At 38.5% G+C, this 15,967-nt stretch overlaps 1 protein-coding gene across 1 annotated transcript; it reads right to left on the bottom strand.

Annotated features, from left to right (window-relative positions):
* Window positions 1–4,187: 4,187 nt before the first annotated feature.
* Window positions 4,188–5,138, bottom strand: OR4C15 (olfactory receptor family 4 subfamily C member 15). The gene has a single exon (NM_001001920.3). It carries the CDS (start codon window positions 5,136–5,138, stop codon window positions 4,188–4,190), a length of 951 nt encoding a protein of 316 aa, NP_001001920.2.
* Window positions 5,139–15,967: the final 10,829 nt, after the last annotated feature.

Below are 15,967 nucleotides of genomic sequence, written 5' to 3'. Positions count from 1 at the left end.
AGGAGCAGGAGTCACAAGGTGCTTGGTGGGGAGCTCCTGAGATTCATTGTCCAGGAGAAGGAATGTCAGAAGTTAATGTCATCAGTTAAGGCAGGAACCAGCCATTCTTTTGTGGTTCTTCAGTTGTCTCAGGCCATCTGGATGTATACTGGCAGGCTTGGGCTCAGAGGCCTGACACTTATGTTTAAAGAAGAGGAAATTTGAAAAATAGTTACTTGGAATCTCCAAATGTGTGGGCATTGCTTGTATATTTTTTGGCTTAATTTGTGAGCTATCATGCAGTACATAGATCATCTCTTTTCTTACGAAAACAATCCACCATCTCTTATGATATGTGCATGGTAGTGGAAAATCAATAAGGTTGTTTTGTGTACTGGCTGCTGACATCCTGGGAGCTGCAAGAGGAAAGGACTCCCAGAGCTCATTGTGTAGATTTTCACTTATCCTTGTACACACTTGTGAAAGAAAAATATCTTGGGCCCCTTCCAACTAGAAATTGCTCAGGGCAAATCTGACTCCCATTCTATTCAAAGTCATCCCTCTGCTGACTGAGACAGATGCATATGTGATTGCCTCCTTTGGAAAAGCTAATCAGAAACTCAAAACAATGCAACTGTTTGTCTCCCACCTATCTGTGACCTGAAAGTCCCCTCCCTGCTTTGAGTCTTCCTGCCTTTGCTTCAAGTTATTCAACCTTTCCAGACCAAACCAATGTGCTTCTTACATATATTGATTGATGTCTCTTGTCTCCCTAAAATGTATAAAACTAAGCTATGCCCCAGCCACCTTGGGCACATGTCATCAGGACATCCTGAATCTATATCATGTGTGCATATCCTCAACCTTGGCAAGATAAACTTTCTAAATTAACTGAGATCTATCTCAAATTTTTGGGGTTCACATTTTTGGTAACCACAGAAGGATTCTGAGTGGAGATGCCCTGGCCTTTCACAAATATCTTATTGGAACTTGGTACCAACATGAGCTAACTTTATGGGTCAAACCAACAGGACAATTGGCTGAGGTCTGAGAGCACACCCTCAGGAGAATCCCTGATCTCCCAAAATTCTGTTAAGATCTAATGTATATTTTGCTGTACATCTCTTCTTTTGGAGTTTCACTTGCTTGCTGAAAGGTTCTTGTATTGGTTGGAAACCTGAGAGTGTGCCAACAGACAACACAAGGCAGTGTGGAGCAACATGCTCTTTTCATGAGCGCCTGGGTGCAGGTGGGCTGAGGCCTAAAATGGCGTCAGCTCCAAGTGAGGATGGGGCAACAGTTTTATAATCTCCTGTAAACAGAAAGCATCCCAGTCTGACGTTACTGCACATAGTACCCAGACGGCCTCTTTCTCGATTTTCAGGTATATGTGTCTTCCTCCTAGGGTACATGTCTTCTGTCCAGGGTAGGTGTCTTCCAGGCAGGGTACATGTCCTCCAGCTGGCTCTCCTCCTGCTTCTGCTATCTTGCTGACACACACTGCTGGCAGAAGTAGCATTGCACCTTGAGACTCGGCCTGAGAAGGGAGGAGTTATTCATCCCCCCAAGTTTTCCAGCCATGGGGAGAAATCTTTCATTCCTGTCTATTTGCTTATAGAAAAAGGAAAAGGAACGACATTTTCAATAACTACTTCAGGCCTGACATAGGCGTGGTGTGGGCCCCTTAGAAAAAGAAAAACTTAATTTTGGGGGTATTCTTGAGAGACCAGTTGATATCCATTGTGTCGTTACAGGAGGAGCATCATCTAGATTGTCTGGCAACTAAATGTAGTTTCAACAAGAGATTTAATGGCTTTTACTATTAGTGGGATAACACAGGGGAAAAAACAGAAGGAACCCATTGTTGAAGATTGCTGTACCTACCAGTATTTTAAATCCTCCTTAATTAGAGAACCACCCTCCTAGAAGGTTTGTTGGGTCCCATCCCTTCCAGGTTTGGACTGGTACATGGGCTACTTTTCCGATGTTTGAAGTGATTTCAAGAACCACTTTTCCATGATCATCTATGTTAAGACAGCAATTGGAGATATTAAACTTGCCACAGACCCCACATTCTTCTGCTAATCTAGCAATGGCCTGTTTTGATAAATTGACACGTGCATTTGGTTTTGTTGTTGTGCTTGCATTTCCAGGGCTGAGGCAGTTTGGTTAGCGATTATCTCTAAAACTGCCTGTCATCTAATTATTCTAATTAGCATATATATGGGAGTGAGATAACACCATGAAACATCCTCAGCCCAAGTGCCAGGACAGTAATATTCAATGATTCATTATGGAGGCCATTCGTCTTCTTGCCATCTTTAGCTTCCTCCTACCTTTAAGGATCATTTTTCTTTGTTTAGGTTATTATACACAGGGACTCCCAGTGTGTTAACCGCAGTTAATGTTTTGGAGGAAGGAGTAGCCTTGGGGGTGAGCTTGACTCTGGTGTGATGGGCCCAGTGGGGGATTCCTTAGACTCTCACTGCAGTTGGTGTGCTGAGTATCACAGTGTAAGGGACCTGTCCACTTCAGTTGTAGTTTTTGGTGAGGGTCAGGTTGGCAGATAAATATGTCTGTGCCTGCAAGACATTTATGTTGAGAGGACAAGGAGGTGTCTACAGGGAGAGGTATGGCCTCATTTGCTGTTTCACTAATGAAAGACCATGTCTGGATTAAGGAGGAGAGGTAACTCCTGAGTGGCTCAGAGTCTGGTAAGGGTGAAGGCCCTAAGACTAAAGTTTGGCCACACATGATTTCAAAGGGACTATAAAAAGGGTGCTTTTGGTGTTGCATGGAGTCTCACGAGGGTAAAAGGGAACTTTTTTTTTGTCCACGACTAGCAGGTTTCTAAGGCCAGCATGGTGAGTTGGGCATTAAGGACAGAGTTGACCTTTCCAACTTTGCCTGAAGATTGAGGCCTGAAGGGTGTAGAGACGCCTTAGGTAATTTGGCTGATAAAAGGCGGGCCTGTTATTGGATTGGATGCATGTTGGGAGTTCAAAATGGGGAGTTATATGCATGATGAGAGTTTGTGTGATGACATTTGCATGTTCTGAAGTTGTTGGGAACACTTCTACCAACCCGAAGAAAGTACAGACAAAGACTAGAAGATAGTAGAACCATTTATTGGGCAGTATGTGAGTGAAGTCTACTTGCCAATCTTGCCTGGATACCAGGCCCCAGGCTTGGTGGGTAGGAAAAGGCTGTGGCTGGAGGGAACCTTGGGGTGATACTGAGTAGCAGACAGAGCAGGACTGGGTAATCTACAAACCAAGTAAAGGAGGCATCTGGAAGGTGTTGGTCTGTTATGTTTGGAAAAATGTAAGAGCAGCATTCACACCGAATTGTATAGGGTCTTGGGTGGTTGTAGCTTCAGGTAAGAGCATGGCTGGGTTTAGATGGGAGCTGGTTAGCATGGTAATGTGGGGAGTTTCTATGAATAGAGCATACAGTTGGAAGAGCTGTGGGGCAGAGATGAGACTTAGTACACAGCAGTGAGCTAACATGTCTTTGATGTTTCAGGTTGAATCGACTGTTAGGTTGGCATGGAGAGATCATTTTAGGCTTTCAAGAGTGAGGACAGCAGCTGCTGCCAAGCTCAGAGACAAGCAAGCCATCCATGAACTGCAGCTTTAAGCTGATTAGAGAGGTAGGCAACAACCTGGAAGATGGGTCCCTTAGACTGGGTTAGAACACCTACTGCAACTCCATGCTGGTTAGCGGTATAGAGGGAGAAAGGTTTGGTGAGGTCTGGGAGAGTGAGAATGGGGGCTGATGTGAGAGCCTTCTGGAGGATGGAAATGTTGGGTAATAGGCTGTGTGGGGTTTAAAGGCTCATGGAGAGGGCCTTTAGCCGCCTGGTATAACGGTTTGGCAAGTAGAGTGAAGGAGGGAACCCAGAGCCTAAAATAAACCACTAGTCCTAGAAAAGAGAGAATGTCTTGCTTAGTTTGCAGAGGTGGAAGGGAGTGGAGGTGCAATATGCAGTTGGTTGTGAGCCCTTGGAGTCACGGGGTAAGACTAGGCCTATATAGGTGACTGAGGAGGTGCATATTTGTGCTTTCTGAGGGTGGACACATAAGTTTTCTGATCCCACATTAATGATTTTTTTCTAGCATTACTTTATCTCTTGCCATGAAAGATGTATCTCATTAAGTTTTTATTTAAGGCCATTTTGACCTTTTTTACTCTTAACTTTGGATTTTTTAAAGTTTAATATTTTCTTTCTCATCAGAAACCACCATCAGTCTGTTCCATATTCTCCTCATGGCCTGTTTTACTTCCTTATTCCTGAAAGTGTAAATCAAAGGATTGAGCAAGGGATTTAAGATGATATAAAATATTGCCGCCATTTTGTCAAGGGAAAAAGCAGATGGAGGTCGTGTATATACAAATATGCATGGGACAAAGAACAAAATCACAACAGCAATGTGAGATCCACAGGTGGAGAGAGCTTTCCAGCGCCCTTCAGAACTGTGTGTTCTCAGAGAGAGCAAGATGACAGCATAGGAGACAAGCAACAAGGAGAAGTTTATGATGCAGATAAACCCACTGTTGATGACCACCATGAGGCCAAAGATGTGAGTATCAGTGCAGGCAAGCTCCAGTAACGGGTACAAGTCACACATAAAGTGATTGATGACATTGGGGCCACAAAAGGGAAGCTGGAAAGTAAAAAGAATTTGTATCATGGAATGCAAGAGGCCCCCTGTCCAGGCTACCCCCATCAGAATGCCACAGAGCCTCCTGTTCATGATAGAAGAGTAATGCAAGGGCTTGCAAATGGCCACATAACGATCATAGGCCATGGCTGTGAGGACAATCACCTCCACCCCAGCAAAGAAGTGTTCAGCAAAGAGCTGCATCATGCAGCCTTCAAAAGAGATGGTTTTTGTCACATAGAGGGAGTCTACAATCATCTTTGGGGTGATGACAGATGAGAAGCACGCATCCAGGAAGGACAGGAAGCCCAAGAAGAAGTACATAGGAGACACCAGAAGAGCAGGGCTGCTGAGAATGGTTACTACAATTAGCATGTTGCCCCCAACAGTTGCAATGTAGACAAACAAAAATACAACAAATACTATTTCCTGAACATTTGGATTCTGTGAAAGTCCCAGGAGGACAAACTCAGTTACAAAGCTTTGGTTTTGCATGTTTCCCAAGGAAAAGATGAAAGCTCCAACAGGGATCATGTATAGTCTGCAATTAGGACAAAGGAAAATTTGCTTCAGATCAATTTGTGGTATCATAGTCATTAACAAGTTGGTACATCCAAGTGCAAAATTATTGAGTGCTTCTGTTGTCATTGAGAACATAAATTAGAAATTATTGAAGGTAGTACTGAAATATCAGACAGAATTGTGATAGAGATAATTTAAAGAATACTTGAAAGAAACAAGAGGTTCAATATGGGGGAAGGATATGTGGTAGAGAAGAGAAAGAGTTTTCATATCAAGTGCCAGCTTTGATCATTTACTAGTGGCTTCCTGGAGTGAATTATTGAGAAGTATTCTGAAGTTACCTCTAAATTTTGAGAGAAGGAGCATTGTAACTTATTACTTATTTCTGCCATTGGCATCAAATGAGAGCAGGGATGACCAGCATCCCATTCCTAATCGGGAGACTGCTTTATCTGCAACTAGAAGAAAACAGCGTATAGTTCAAGAGGCACTTAAAAATTATGGCTGCTCTTCAAATATTTCTTTAAAAGTCTTAACTGAATTCATTCTTTACAAAAGAGAAAGATCTTTAGAAAAATCTCTAGCCTGACATTTAAAACATAAAAAGTATGCATTAAGTGCGGAGTGTTTTCTTAAATCTGTCATTTTAAAATGAAAACAGAAGTTTATTATTATTATAAAAGTAATAATGCCTACAACAGAATGTTGTTATGATAACTGGTGAAACAATGGAAGGCTAAGGACCGACTGCCCTAGGGAATGGTCTGCATTAGGTCTTATTATTCCTATTTGATTGGTGGGAAACTCATGCTTAAAGAAGTTAAGTTTAAGCAAATAACAGACAATCTGGGATATTAACACAAAATCTCAGGCTCCAACACCCAATTCCTTTCCACTAGATCAGCAGGGAAAGGAGTGGGGATATTCCTTTTCCAGTAAGAACTTCAAAGTAGGAATGGCCTTTCTACAAACACTTGCATGTACAAATTGGCATCAACCACATAAGTAAGGAAGAGAAACAATATATTGAATATAAACCGGAATCTTGAGGCTTTATTAATTATTTTCCAATTATTTATATAAAGTAATCAGGTCTAATGAAGTTTAATTCCTAAAAGAAGTGTATATTTCAACTTTATATGCATTATTGTGTAGCAGAGGTGTTTATATATAGCTTACCTGCTCATGTCTCAGGATTATGATGATGGTCAGATTTGAAAATGTGAAAATTTTACTTATAATAAAGTGCTCTTACCAATTGTATTTACTCACTTAAAAAGTCAGCCACCTTATCTACAAAAAGCTTTTTCATGAGTCATCTAGATAATTACTCTCCAACTTTTGACTTCATTTCCACAGGCAGACACAGCTTTAAAGGATAATTCTGTCTTCACCTATATATATATAATTGAAATGTGTTTTTCAATTACCATATATAAGTGTGTGTTTGAATATTTGTATATGTGTATATTTATATGTGTATACACCTTTGTTAAAAAATAAGTGAATAAAAAAGAATAAAGAGATTTATTTTGAGATTTAAATAAGCTGATTTTTATGAATGTCACTTGGAGTTAACAGAAACAATTTAAAATGTTAATAAAACTAACAAATATACAATTGTGTATGTTAATATATGTTCTTTTGCTTATTTTAAAACAATCATTTCCATTATGTTTTCAGTTTCATTTGTAACCAGTGTCTGCACTAGGAATTCCATATACAGTTATAAGTTATCATCAGGAAAATATGAGCTGGAACAAACCTTATAAGGTTATTAGATAAGTCAATAACCATTTATTGCAAAGGAAAGCATGTTAGTAAATGATCCAACAGTGCTCAGCTTAGCCGAGAGCCAAAGTGGGAAATACGATGAAGTGAAATGAGTAAGAACTTCAGTTCCAGACTCATATAGACGTAGGTTCAAATCCAAGCTCTCCTACTTGTTCTATGGCATGTTAGAACAAGTCACTTCAAATTCTTAACATTCTCAAAGCCTCAGCTTCCACTTCAGTAAATGGATATGATGTCTATCTATACATATCTTGTGAGTATAAGAAAGCAATACACACAAAAGCACTGATGCAGTAAGAAGCATAGAAGATCATGATGAGTGGTGAGAACAAGCCCTCAGAGCCATTGACACAGAGCAGAAATAACATTTTTACACTAATTTTTGCTTTACCAAGACCAAGGTGGTTTTACTCATCCTTTAACACATGGACACAGGAAGGGGAGCATCACACACCGGGGCCTGTTGTGGGGTGGGGGGAGTGAGGAGGGACAGCATTAGGAGATACACCTAATGTTAAATAACGAGTTAATGAGTGCAGCACACCAACATGGCACATGTATACATCTGTAACTAACCTGCACGTTGTGCACATGTACCCTAAAGCTTAAAGTATAATAATCAAAAATTTAAAAAAAAGAAAATGTGCCACATATACACTATGGAATACTATGCAGCCATAAAAAAGGATGAGTTCATGTCATTTGTAGGGACATGGATGAAACTGGAAACCATCATTCTCAGCAAACTATCACAAGGACAAAAAAACAAACACTGTATGTTCTCACTTATAGGTGGGAATTGAACAATGAGAACACTTGGACACAGGAAGTGGGACATCACACACCGGGGCCTGTTGTGAGGTGGGGGTAGGGGGGAGGTATAGCATTAGGAGATATACCTAATGTAAATGACGAGTTAATGGGTGCAGCACACCAACATGGCACATGTATACGTATGTAACAAACATGCACGTTGTGCACATGTACCCTAGAACTTAAAGTATAATAAAAAAATTTTAAAAGAGAAAAAAATAAAAATAAAAATAAATTTTGAAAAATGTTAAATATTTTATTTGGTCTGTCTCAGTGCAGACATGATATTTTAAAATGCACAACACTTTTAAATGTCTTTAGTAATCCCTGAATAAAGTACTGTGGCCCCCATTCTGTCAAATATCCACTTCTATTTCAAATAGCTTCATTGTACATAGAAAACTCCATAAAAGTTGGAGATGGAAAGAAAGACAAGGCTCTATATTAATCTAATAATTAAACAATTCTTAATCTCTCCACTTCCTTTAGCTGGGCTGTTCTAAGAAGAATAACATTTTAGAATTAAAATATTTAGTAGATATAAAGAAACCAACCACTTATTTCAGATAAAAGGAATTTCCAAAATTAGTGTGGAAACTTTGACAATAGAAAGTATAGCATCTTCATAATGTATGATAACAAGATTTATGGTTTTAAATCATTTTAAAAGAGTCTTAAATGTGATGTGTTGCTTAAGATTGAATCCTAGAATAGAAAAAAGACAGGAGAAAAAATAGTCAAATATGAATAAACCTGGTGTTTAGTTAATAGTATATATCAACGTTCATTTCATAGTCTTCACAAATAGTAGTGTAAGAAGAAAATATTAAGGGAAACTAAGTGAGTAGTATACAGAAGCTCTCTATACTATCTTCACAACCTTTCTCTTAATCTAAAATTACTTCTAATGAAAAGTTAATTAAAAAGTAATTTTTTTCTGCTATCAAAAAGATAGCAATCTCTGCTTCATCTACTAGCCATGTATCATGAACAAAGCGCTATGTTTCAGCATCCTCTGCTATAAAATAGGTAGCAATACCTGAAGCTTCCTGACCCATGAGAGTCCAATAGACAGTTATTGTGAATGTACTTTGCAAAGTATAAATTAAAAGGAAGATATGAAATCTTTATGTCAACATTATTTTTAAGCAGCATCTACATACACAAAGTGAGCTGGAAAATTGAATCGATCATAAGAGTATAATACGTGTGTTCAAAATCATGCTATTTTTAAGTTACATCCATTCTAAAATTACAATAAAACTGCTTAATTCATGTCATCCTTTTGTAAAACATATTAGTAAATAGCTTCAGAATTATAAACATGTTTATTTTATTTATACCAGTAACCTCAACTCTAAGAACATATTCCAAAAGTGAAATGAGATGGGAAAGTTTTATAATAAAAGATGGTGCAATGTCATCTCAATTTTCAATGTGAAAATTGAGAAATATCTAAAATATACAATCATAGGAAGATATTCATCTAAATTAGACTATCACAAATTAATATCACATTTGCTATAAATAAAATACTAATTAATGACATGAGGACATAGAAGTTGAGGTATTTTTACAGTATTTTAAGTGAGAAAACAGAAAAAATATAACTCTGCCAATTGGATAGATATTTTTAATATAATTTTATGATCTAGAAGGAAACATATAAAATGACAGAGACTCTATTTTCTCTGTATATCCTGTATTATTGTAAGAATATTTAAAATTAAACATCAAGTTTAAAACTCACACAGCCATATTTTCCACCATCTAAACAGTTCAAAAAGGAGATGGAGTTTGGGGATAACTCATTTGCACACATGAAACTAATAAGCTAACATAACACAGAATCAAATACTAAAAATTTTAAACTTCCTATACTTCCCATAAATAGCCATATTATGGGCCCAGCCCTCTCCACCCTTTAGACATTTATTTTAATATCAATTTAAAATTCATATTTTCCTATAGGTAGTGGTTTATTTTGTTCATGTTTCTCATAGAACATTCCGTGGTCTTTCCTTTCTTGATAACCACACACTTAATATGCTGGAGCCACCCCTGAGACTGCCCCATGGCCCCTCACATCATGAACTGTGGTTGCTGGGCCATTTCTTGGGCTGTGACCTGAGGAAGTGGCTTCCTCATTCCCCTCTATACACATTGCCTACTATTTCCTTCCCATCAGTTTTAACAACAAAACTAATTCTATTTGTCCTGGAAATAATAGAATTCCTATTTCAAGTATGAAGTATATACAACATTCAAAACTATAAGAAGTATTAGTAGTAAGGTTATCATTACAAGTAACATTTTGTAGTTATAGTTCAAGCAGTAAATTTTAGAGACATTTATATGGACATATGAATGCATATTAGTCACATTTGCATACATTTTTCCAAATAAATATTGTTATGACAAAGAAGAAGAACAAATCAAAATCCTATTTTTAACTATCCCCCCTGTTAAGTTTCTTAAATCTACCACATTTTTGATCCAGGATTATTATTCAACAATGAAAAGTTTTTTCCTGGCCTGTCTAGCTAAGCATGTTCCTTTCCCTAGCAATCTGGGAAATAATGCTCTCTTCAACTTTCAGAATTTCAGATCATTTCCTGTTTTCAGTGTTGCTCTGTTGATTTCCCTAAATGCTCCAACTTTTATACCATTACTTTCTGGAATTTGAAAGAAAAAAAAAGTTTTCTTTTTCCACTCGTGTCCTTTCTCCTGTCTATTGGATGCCTGACCCTTCCTTTTTTCTTTTTCTTTCTTTTATTTTTTTGAGACAGAATTTCTCTTATCTCCTAGGCTGGAGGGCAGTGGCACAATCTCAGCTTACTGAGACCTCCACCTCCCCTCGTGGGTTCAAGCATTTCTCCTGCCTCATCCTCCCGAGTAGCTGAAATTACAAGCACCCACCACCACACCTGGCTAATTTTTGTATTTTTAGTAGAGACTGGGGTTTGCCATGTTGGCCAGGCTGGTCTTGAACTCCTGACCCCAGGTGATCTGCCTGCCTCAGCCTCCCAAAGTGATGAGATTACAGGCATGGGACACCATGCCTGGCTCTTTTTTTTTTTTTTTTTTTCTGTTTTCTTAGTGATTTATCTCATTTTAAGGAGGAGACAAAGCCATGACAACTAGTTCTAAAGCAATTCACAGCTTCAGGCATTTAAATTTTCCTAAACAATTCAAAGGAGGGAACTTAAAGCTACTTATGACATGAGATGCACTTGGGAAAAGTGAGGGGGCCATAGTTAGAAGAATTTACTCTGTGGCTTGGGTCATGATTTTTCATCCTTGGTGTCCTTCTCAGGGTCATTTGTTAGGGGATAATTGTGGAAATAGTGAATGTTTCACTCTATATCAGTAAATATCGTCAGTATCATTCTATATCAGTAAATATAATCAGTATTTAGCTCTGTAAATGATACAGTAGTACTTGAATTATCCATGTTACATCAGTTTTCTCTATACAGCCTCAGGAAATTCTACTCTTTAAAACATCAGGAAAGTGGGAGCATTAGAGGATAAATGGTAATTATTTTATTAAACTTGAAGTAATTAGGTGCTTTGATCCTCCAAAAACCACCAGCTTTCATTTTGTTATAACAGCTGCTGTTTACTGGGTACCTATTATGTGTCAAGTGCCATCCTATGGTCTCTGCATGTATTATTTTATTTGTTTCCACATTCTTCAAGCTTACTAATATTATTGTCCTCATTAAATATGAGGAGTCAGAGAATCAGAAAGGCTATGTAACTGCCCAAGTTTACAATTATTAAGTGTAAGCTCATGCATGGCATTAAAATTTGTATCCTGACCACAACACCCACACTTTGAAGCACTACAACATAACTTGAAATCCTCTCAGAAAATGCAAAAATTTGAATTATAATCTCACCATTTATCAGTTCCTTGAAAATTTTGGTGATGCCAGTCTCCTATTCTCTATAGTGAAGAATCCATCCAGTGGCTAAACATGATGTTGTTTTCAGCTCTTCCTTCTACATTTAATAGACAAAGGAAGAGCATCTCTGGCAGATGAGGTAGGGAGTGTTCCCCACTCCTTTTCAGGTGCTGTCTTCAACATGGTCTCAGGAAAAAAATAAAAATAAAGGAGCAAAAGTTTCCTCCTTGATTTCTAACAGGAATTTAAAGAGGTTTCCCTGAGAGGTCATGAACTTGCAGAATAGTTCCTCCATTCCCCCAGGGTTTGGAAATGTCCCATCAGTATGATTTTCTAAGAAGCAATTTTATGTGGTTTGACTTGTTCGAGAGTTTGCAAAACTTTCATGGCCCTGATAATTAGAGTTTTTGTTTGTTTGTTTGTTTTAACTTCTTCTGGGTTTCTATTTGAAGATGCTTTCCTTTCCCTTTGTGTTCAGGAATACAACACTGTGTACTGTGATGAAATATGTTTCTGCAGAATTCGGGGAAAATGCCTACTCACTACTTACTAAAGAGCGATTTCTGGGACAAGGCAGCATTAGTCAATAAGGACAACGTGTGTTGTTTTGGGACTATGGTAGCAATGAGATGAGTGCTTATTAAAGAATAACATTTTATGTATAAGTATGCAAAGAGGTATAGAGTAATTGAAACATGATCTTTTTTCTCCCAGAAAATTTTATCTTTTTATTTTATTTTATATGAAAAGAAGATATGGTCTGTTTAAGATAACGTAGCATTGAGACTGAAGCTTGAGGGACAACTTAAACTGATCTCCTCAGGTCCCTTTAGAAAGGGACCACATCAAACAATTGGCTGCTTTCCACAGTCTCTAAACATTTTTACCTATTTCTTTGCAAATATGTAATTTTTAATTTTCTCAGTGATGAATGACATGCTTACAGAAATACACACACAAAGCATTCATGTAAAGGTTGATGAATTATTACAAGGCAAATATACGTACGTAACCAAGAAGTAAAACCAGCCTCACTTACACCACCAACAATCACTTTCTTCCTCCTTCCCCTATAAAGGTAACCAATGTCTTAAGAGCCAACATTGTACATCAACTTTCTCTTCTTATACAAGTATTATATTATAGAAAATTTAAAACATATACACAACAAATAAAATAGCGTAATAGACCCCATCACTCAGCCTCAACAATTACTAATCATGTGCCATTTTTGTTTCATCTGTACTTCAACCCATTCACTAAATTCCACTTTATTATTTTTTTTCAGTTTTTCTTTTGGTGTGTGTGATATCCTGCCTATTTTTATATCTATTCACATCCCACAGAAAAATGTAGGATTGAAGTGATTCATCAAAAAAGTCAAGGGCCAGAAGCACCGTTACTTCAATTGTCTAGTAATTTACAGAGAAGTGTTTCCTTGTCATTGGATTTTAGATGTGTGTTCTGAAACAGAAAAGTCACCTGGCATAGACCACAGTCCTGGTTATGGTGATATTTTTGAAATATCACTCAGCAACAAGACTTCAGCAATTCATTCTTGAATCCTGGTTCTCACTTCAAACCACAGCTATACAGTTAGAATATTCTACTTTATCCCATATCCTGCTTTGCTTAATTTTTATTAGTACTGTAACATGAAAATAAGATTGTAAAGATGGGCCAGGCATGGTGGCTCAAACCTGTAATCCAAGCTGTTTGTGAGGCCATGGCAGGAAGATGACTGAAGCCCAGGAGTTTGACACTAGCCTAGGCAACAATAGGGAGACCCCAACTCTATAAATTTTTTTTTTAAATTAGCTGGGTATGGCAGCACTTGCTGGTGGTCCCAACTACTCCAGAGAATGTGGTAGGAGGATTGCCTAAGCCCAGGAGGTCGAGGCTGCAGTGAACTGTATTTGCACCACTGCTCTCCAGCCTGGGTGACAGAGCAAGATCCTGTATCAAAAAAAAAAAAAAAAAGAGAGAAAGATTGTAAAGATGGAGTAAGGCAATAATATAAGAAATATATTATATTTGCACAGTTATGAAAAATAGAATAACTCAGAAAAGTTTAAATAGTTTAAATCAGAAAAGAGAAAGACAGAGACAGAGAGAGCCATAGTCAAGGAGAAGAAATAGCAGGTGAAGGAATAGCCTGCTGTCCAGGCATCTCTTCCTATTCATGTCCAGGAACCATCTCTTCTTGTTCTTTGCAAATCCTGCATATGCTGAAATAATGCCTTTGCACTTCTTTACTACTACTTATTTAACTCTATTTTACCTCATTACTTATGATGTTGCATCATTTATGGGGCTGTCCATGAATATGGGATTCCAATGACTCTCTCAAAGACATTTTCTTAGTAATGATCACAGACACAAGTCTGATAACCAGAGCCTGCAAGATTATGTGAACAAGTTCCTTTCTTGGTTATGTCAAATTGACCTTTAGGAATTTTAAAGCATTAGTATAGGACTATACATCTTCCAACCATGACTTCTATTGAGCACATTAGACTATAATCAAGGTATTCCTGGAAAGTGATATCTTTTGACATTGTCAATAGCCCTACCTTGCAAACACCACCACCAAGGCAGAGGACAGATGAAAAAACTGACTGCAGAATCAAGAAAAGTGGTTTCATTCATGCGAGACATGTCCCTCATCACATACGGCTTAAGATCAACACAGGAGAATACAATGTTAACATCCTTGTTACCAAAGGAAGCAAGAAAGGGCAACCATTGGACAGGTTAGTCAACACTCCAGAGCAAAGGTCGTTAAAGCCGTTGAAATGGATAAGCCTAGCCACCCATAAAGAACTTCCTGACACATAGCATAGAGCCTGCGGAAGAGACGAGATGGCCTTTTTGTGTGCCAGCATTAAGGATGCACAAGATAAAAGATGTCTGCCATCACTCTTACCACCTGCAGGGCCATAGATGCTGGCACTGCATCGAAGTATGAACAGATAAAAGCTGACTAAGCCCCACACACATTTCCAAGGCCAAGGGTTGGTAGGGGCTCATTTATATCCCAGAACTTTGTCCCTGTCCTATGTCACCCAGAATCATCATGTCAATACAATTCTAGTAACCAATGTAGTACAATCCCATGAAAAAAATAATGAACTAGCCTCTGGAAGACATTTGCTTGTCAAGCTGTACTCCTGCTACTCTGATCCTGGCCACAGAGCCTGGGATAACTTCATAGGTGCAGCAGCCAGAGCTTCTGAGGATGTCTGGGTAATCCCATGGAATAGAGTGACAAAAAGCTTCCCAAACAGGAAAAACAGGAAGGGGATCCATGCAGTTGGGTCTGGGCTGGAATGCCCCATCAAAAGCACTGCCCAGTCCCAGATACTGAAAGAAAATTTGGAAAATTTTAATGAAGATACTCCAAAGTCTGGACTTGAGAGTAGCAGCCCTACTTGTGCAGGAGTAAGGACAATACTATCTAAAATATTATTTCTGGGCTGGGTGAGGTGGCTCATGCCTGTAATCCCAGCACTTTGGGAGGCCGAGGTGAGCAGATCACTTGCAGTCAGGAGTTGGAGAGACCAGCCTGGCCAACATGGTGAAACCCTATCTCCACTAAAAATACAAAAATTAGCCAGGCATGGTGTCACACACCTGTAATTCCAGCTACTTGGGAGGCTGAGGCAGGAGAATCGCTGGAACCTGGGAGGCGGAGTTTGCAGCGAGCTGAGGTTGTGCCATTTCACTCCAGACCGGGTGACAGAGTGAGACTCCATCTCAAAATAAATATATTATTTCTTCCCATCTAAAAATAAGAAATGAGTTAGTCATGCAAATGATTGGAATAAAGTTTTCCAGGCCGAGAAAATAGCCTATGTAAAGGTTTTATAGCAAGAGTCTACCTGGCTAGGAAGAGGAACAGAAAGGCTGTTTGTTGTAAGAGAGGTGTTCAGAGAAAGAATAGGGCAGCCAGAGTATAGCTGTCAGATATTTAGCAATTATAGTAGTTTTAGATTTTACCCTGAGTGACATAGAGAGCTATTGCAAAGTTTTGAGTAGAGGTGTGAAATGATGTGACTGACTTGTGAATTTAAAAGATACCTCTGAGTATGGTGTTGAGAATCAAATATTGGACTGGGGGAAATTGAAATAAAAGCAGGAGGAGTAGGGAGAGGCAATTGCAATAATCCAGGTAAAAGATAATGGTGGCTTGGAACTGGGTGACAGATCTAAAAGTGATTAGAAATAGTTGAATTTGGAATACATGTTGAAGGTTGAGTCTATTGGATTTCCTGATAGACTGGA

The sequence above is a fragment of the Homo sapiens genome, chromosome 11 (genome assembly GCF_000001405.40).
Source record: "Homo sapiens chromosome 11, GRCh38.p14 Primary Assembly".
NCBI lineage: Eukaryota > Metazoa > Chordata > Mammalia > Primates > Hominidae > Homo > Homo sapiens.
The sequence above is the reverse complement of the archived record's forward strand: the minus strand, read 5'-3'. Positions and strand labels throughout refer to the sequence as shown.

Excerpts from the sequence above, each read along its gene's own strand:
- OR4C15 (NM_001001920.3), bottom strand. The coding sequence starts at position 5,138 with ATGCAAAACCAAAGCTTTGTAACTGAGTTTGTCCTCCTGGGACTTTCA.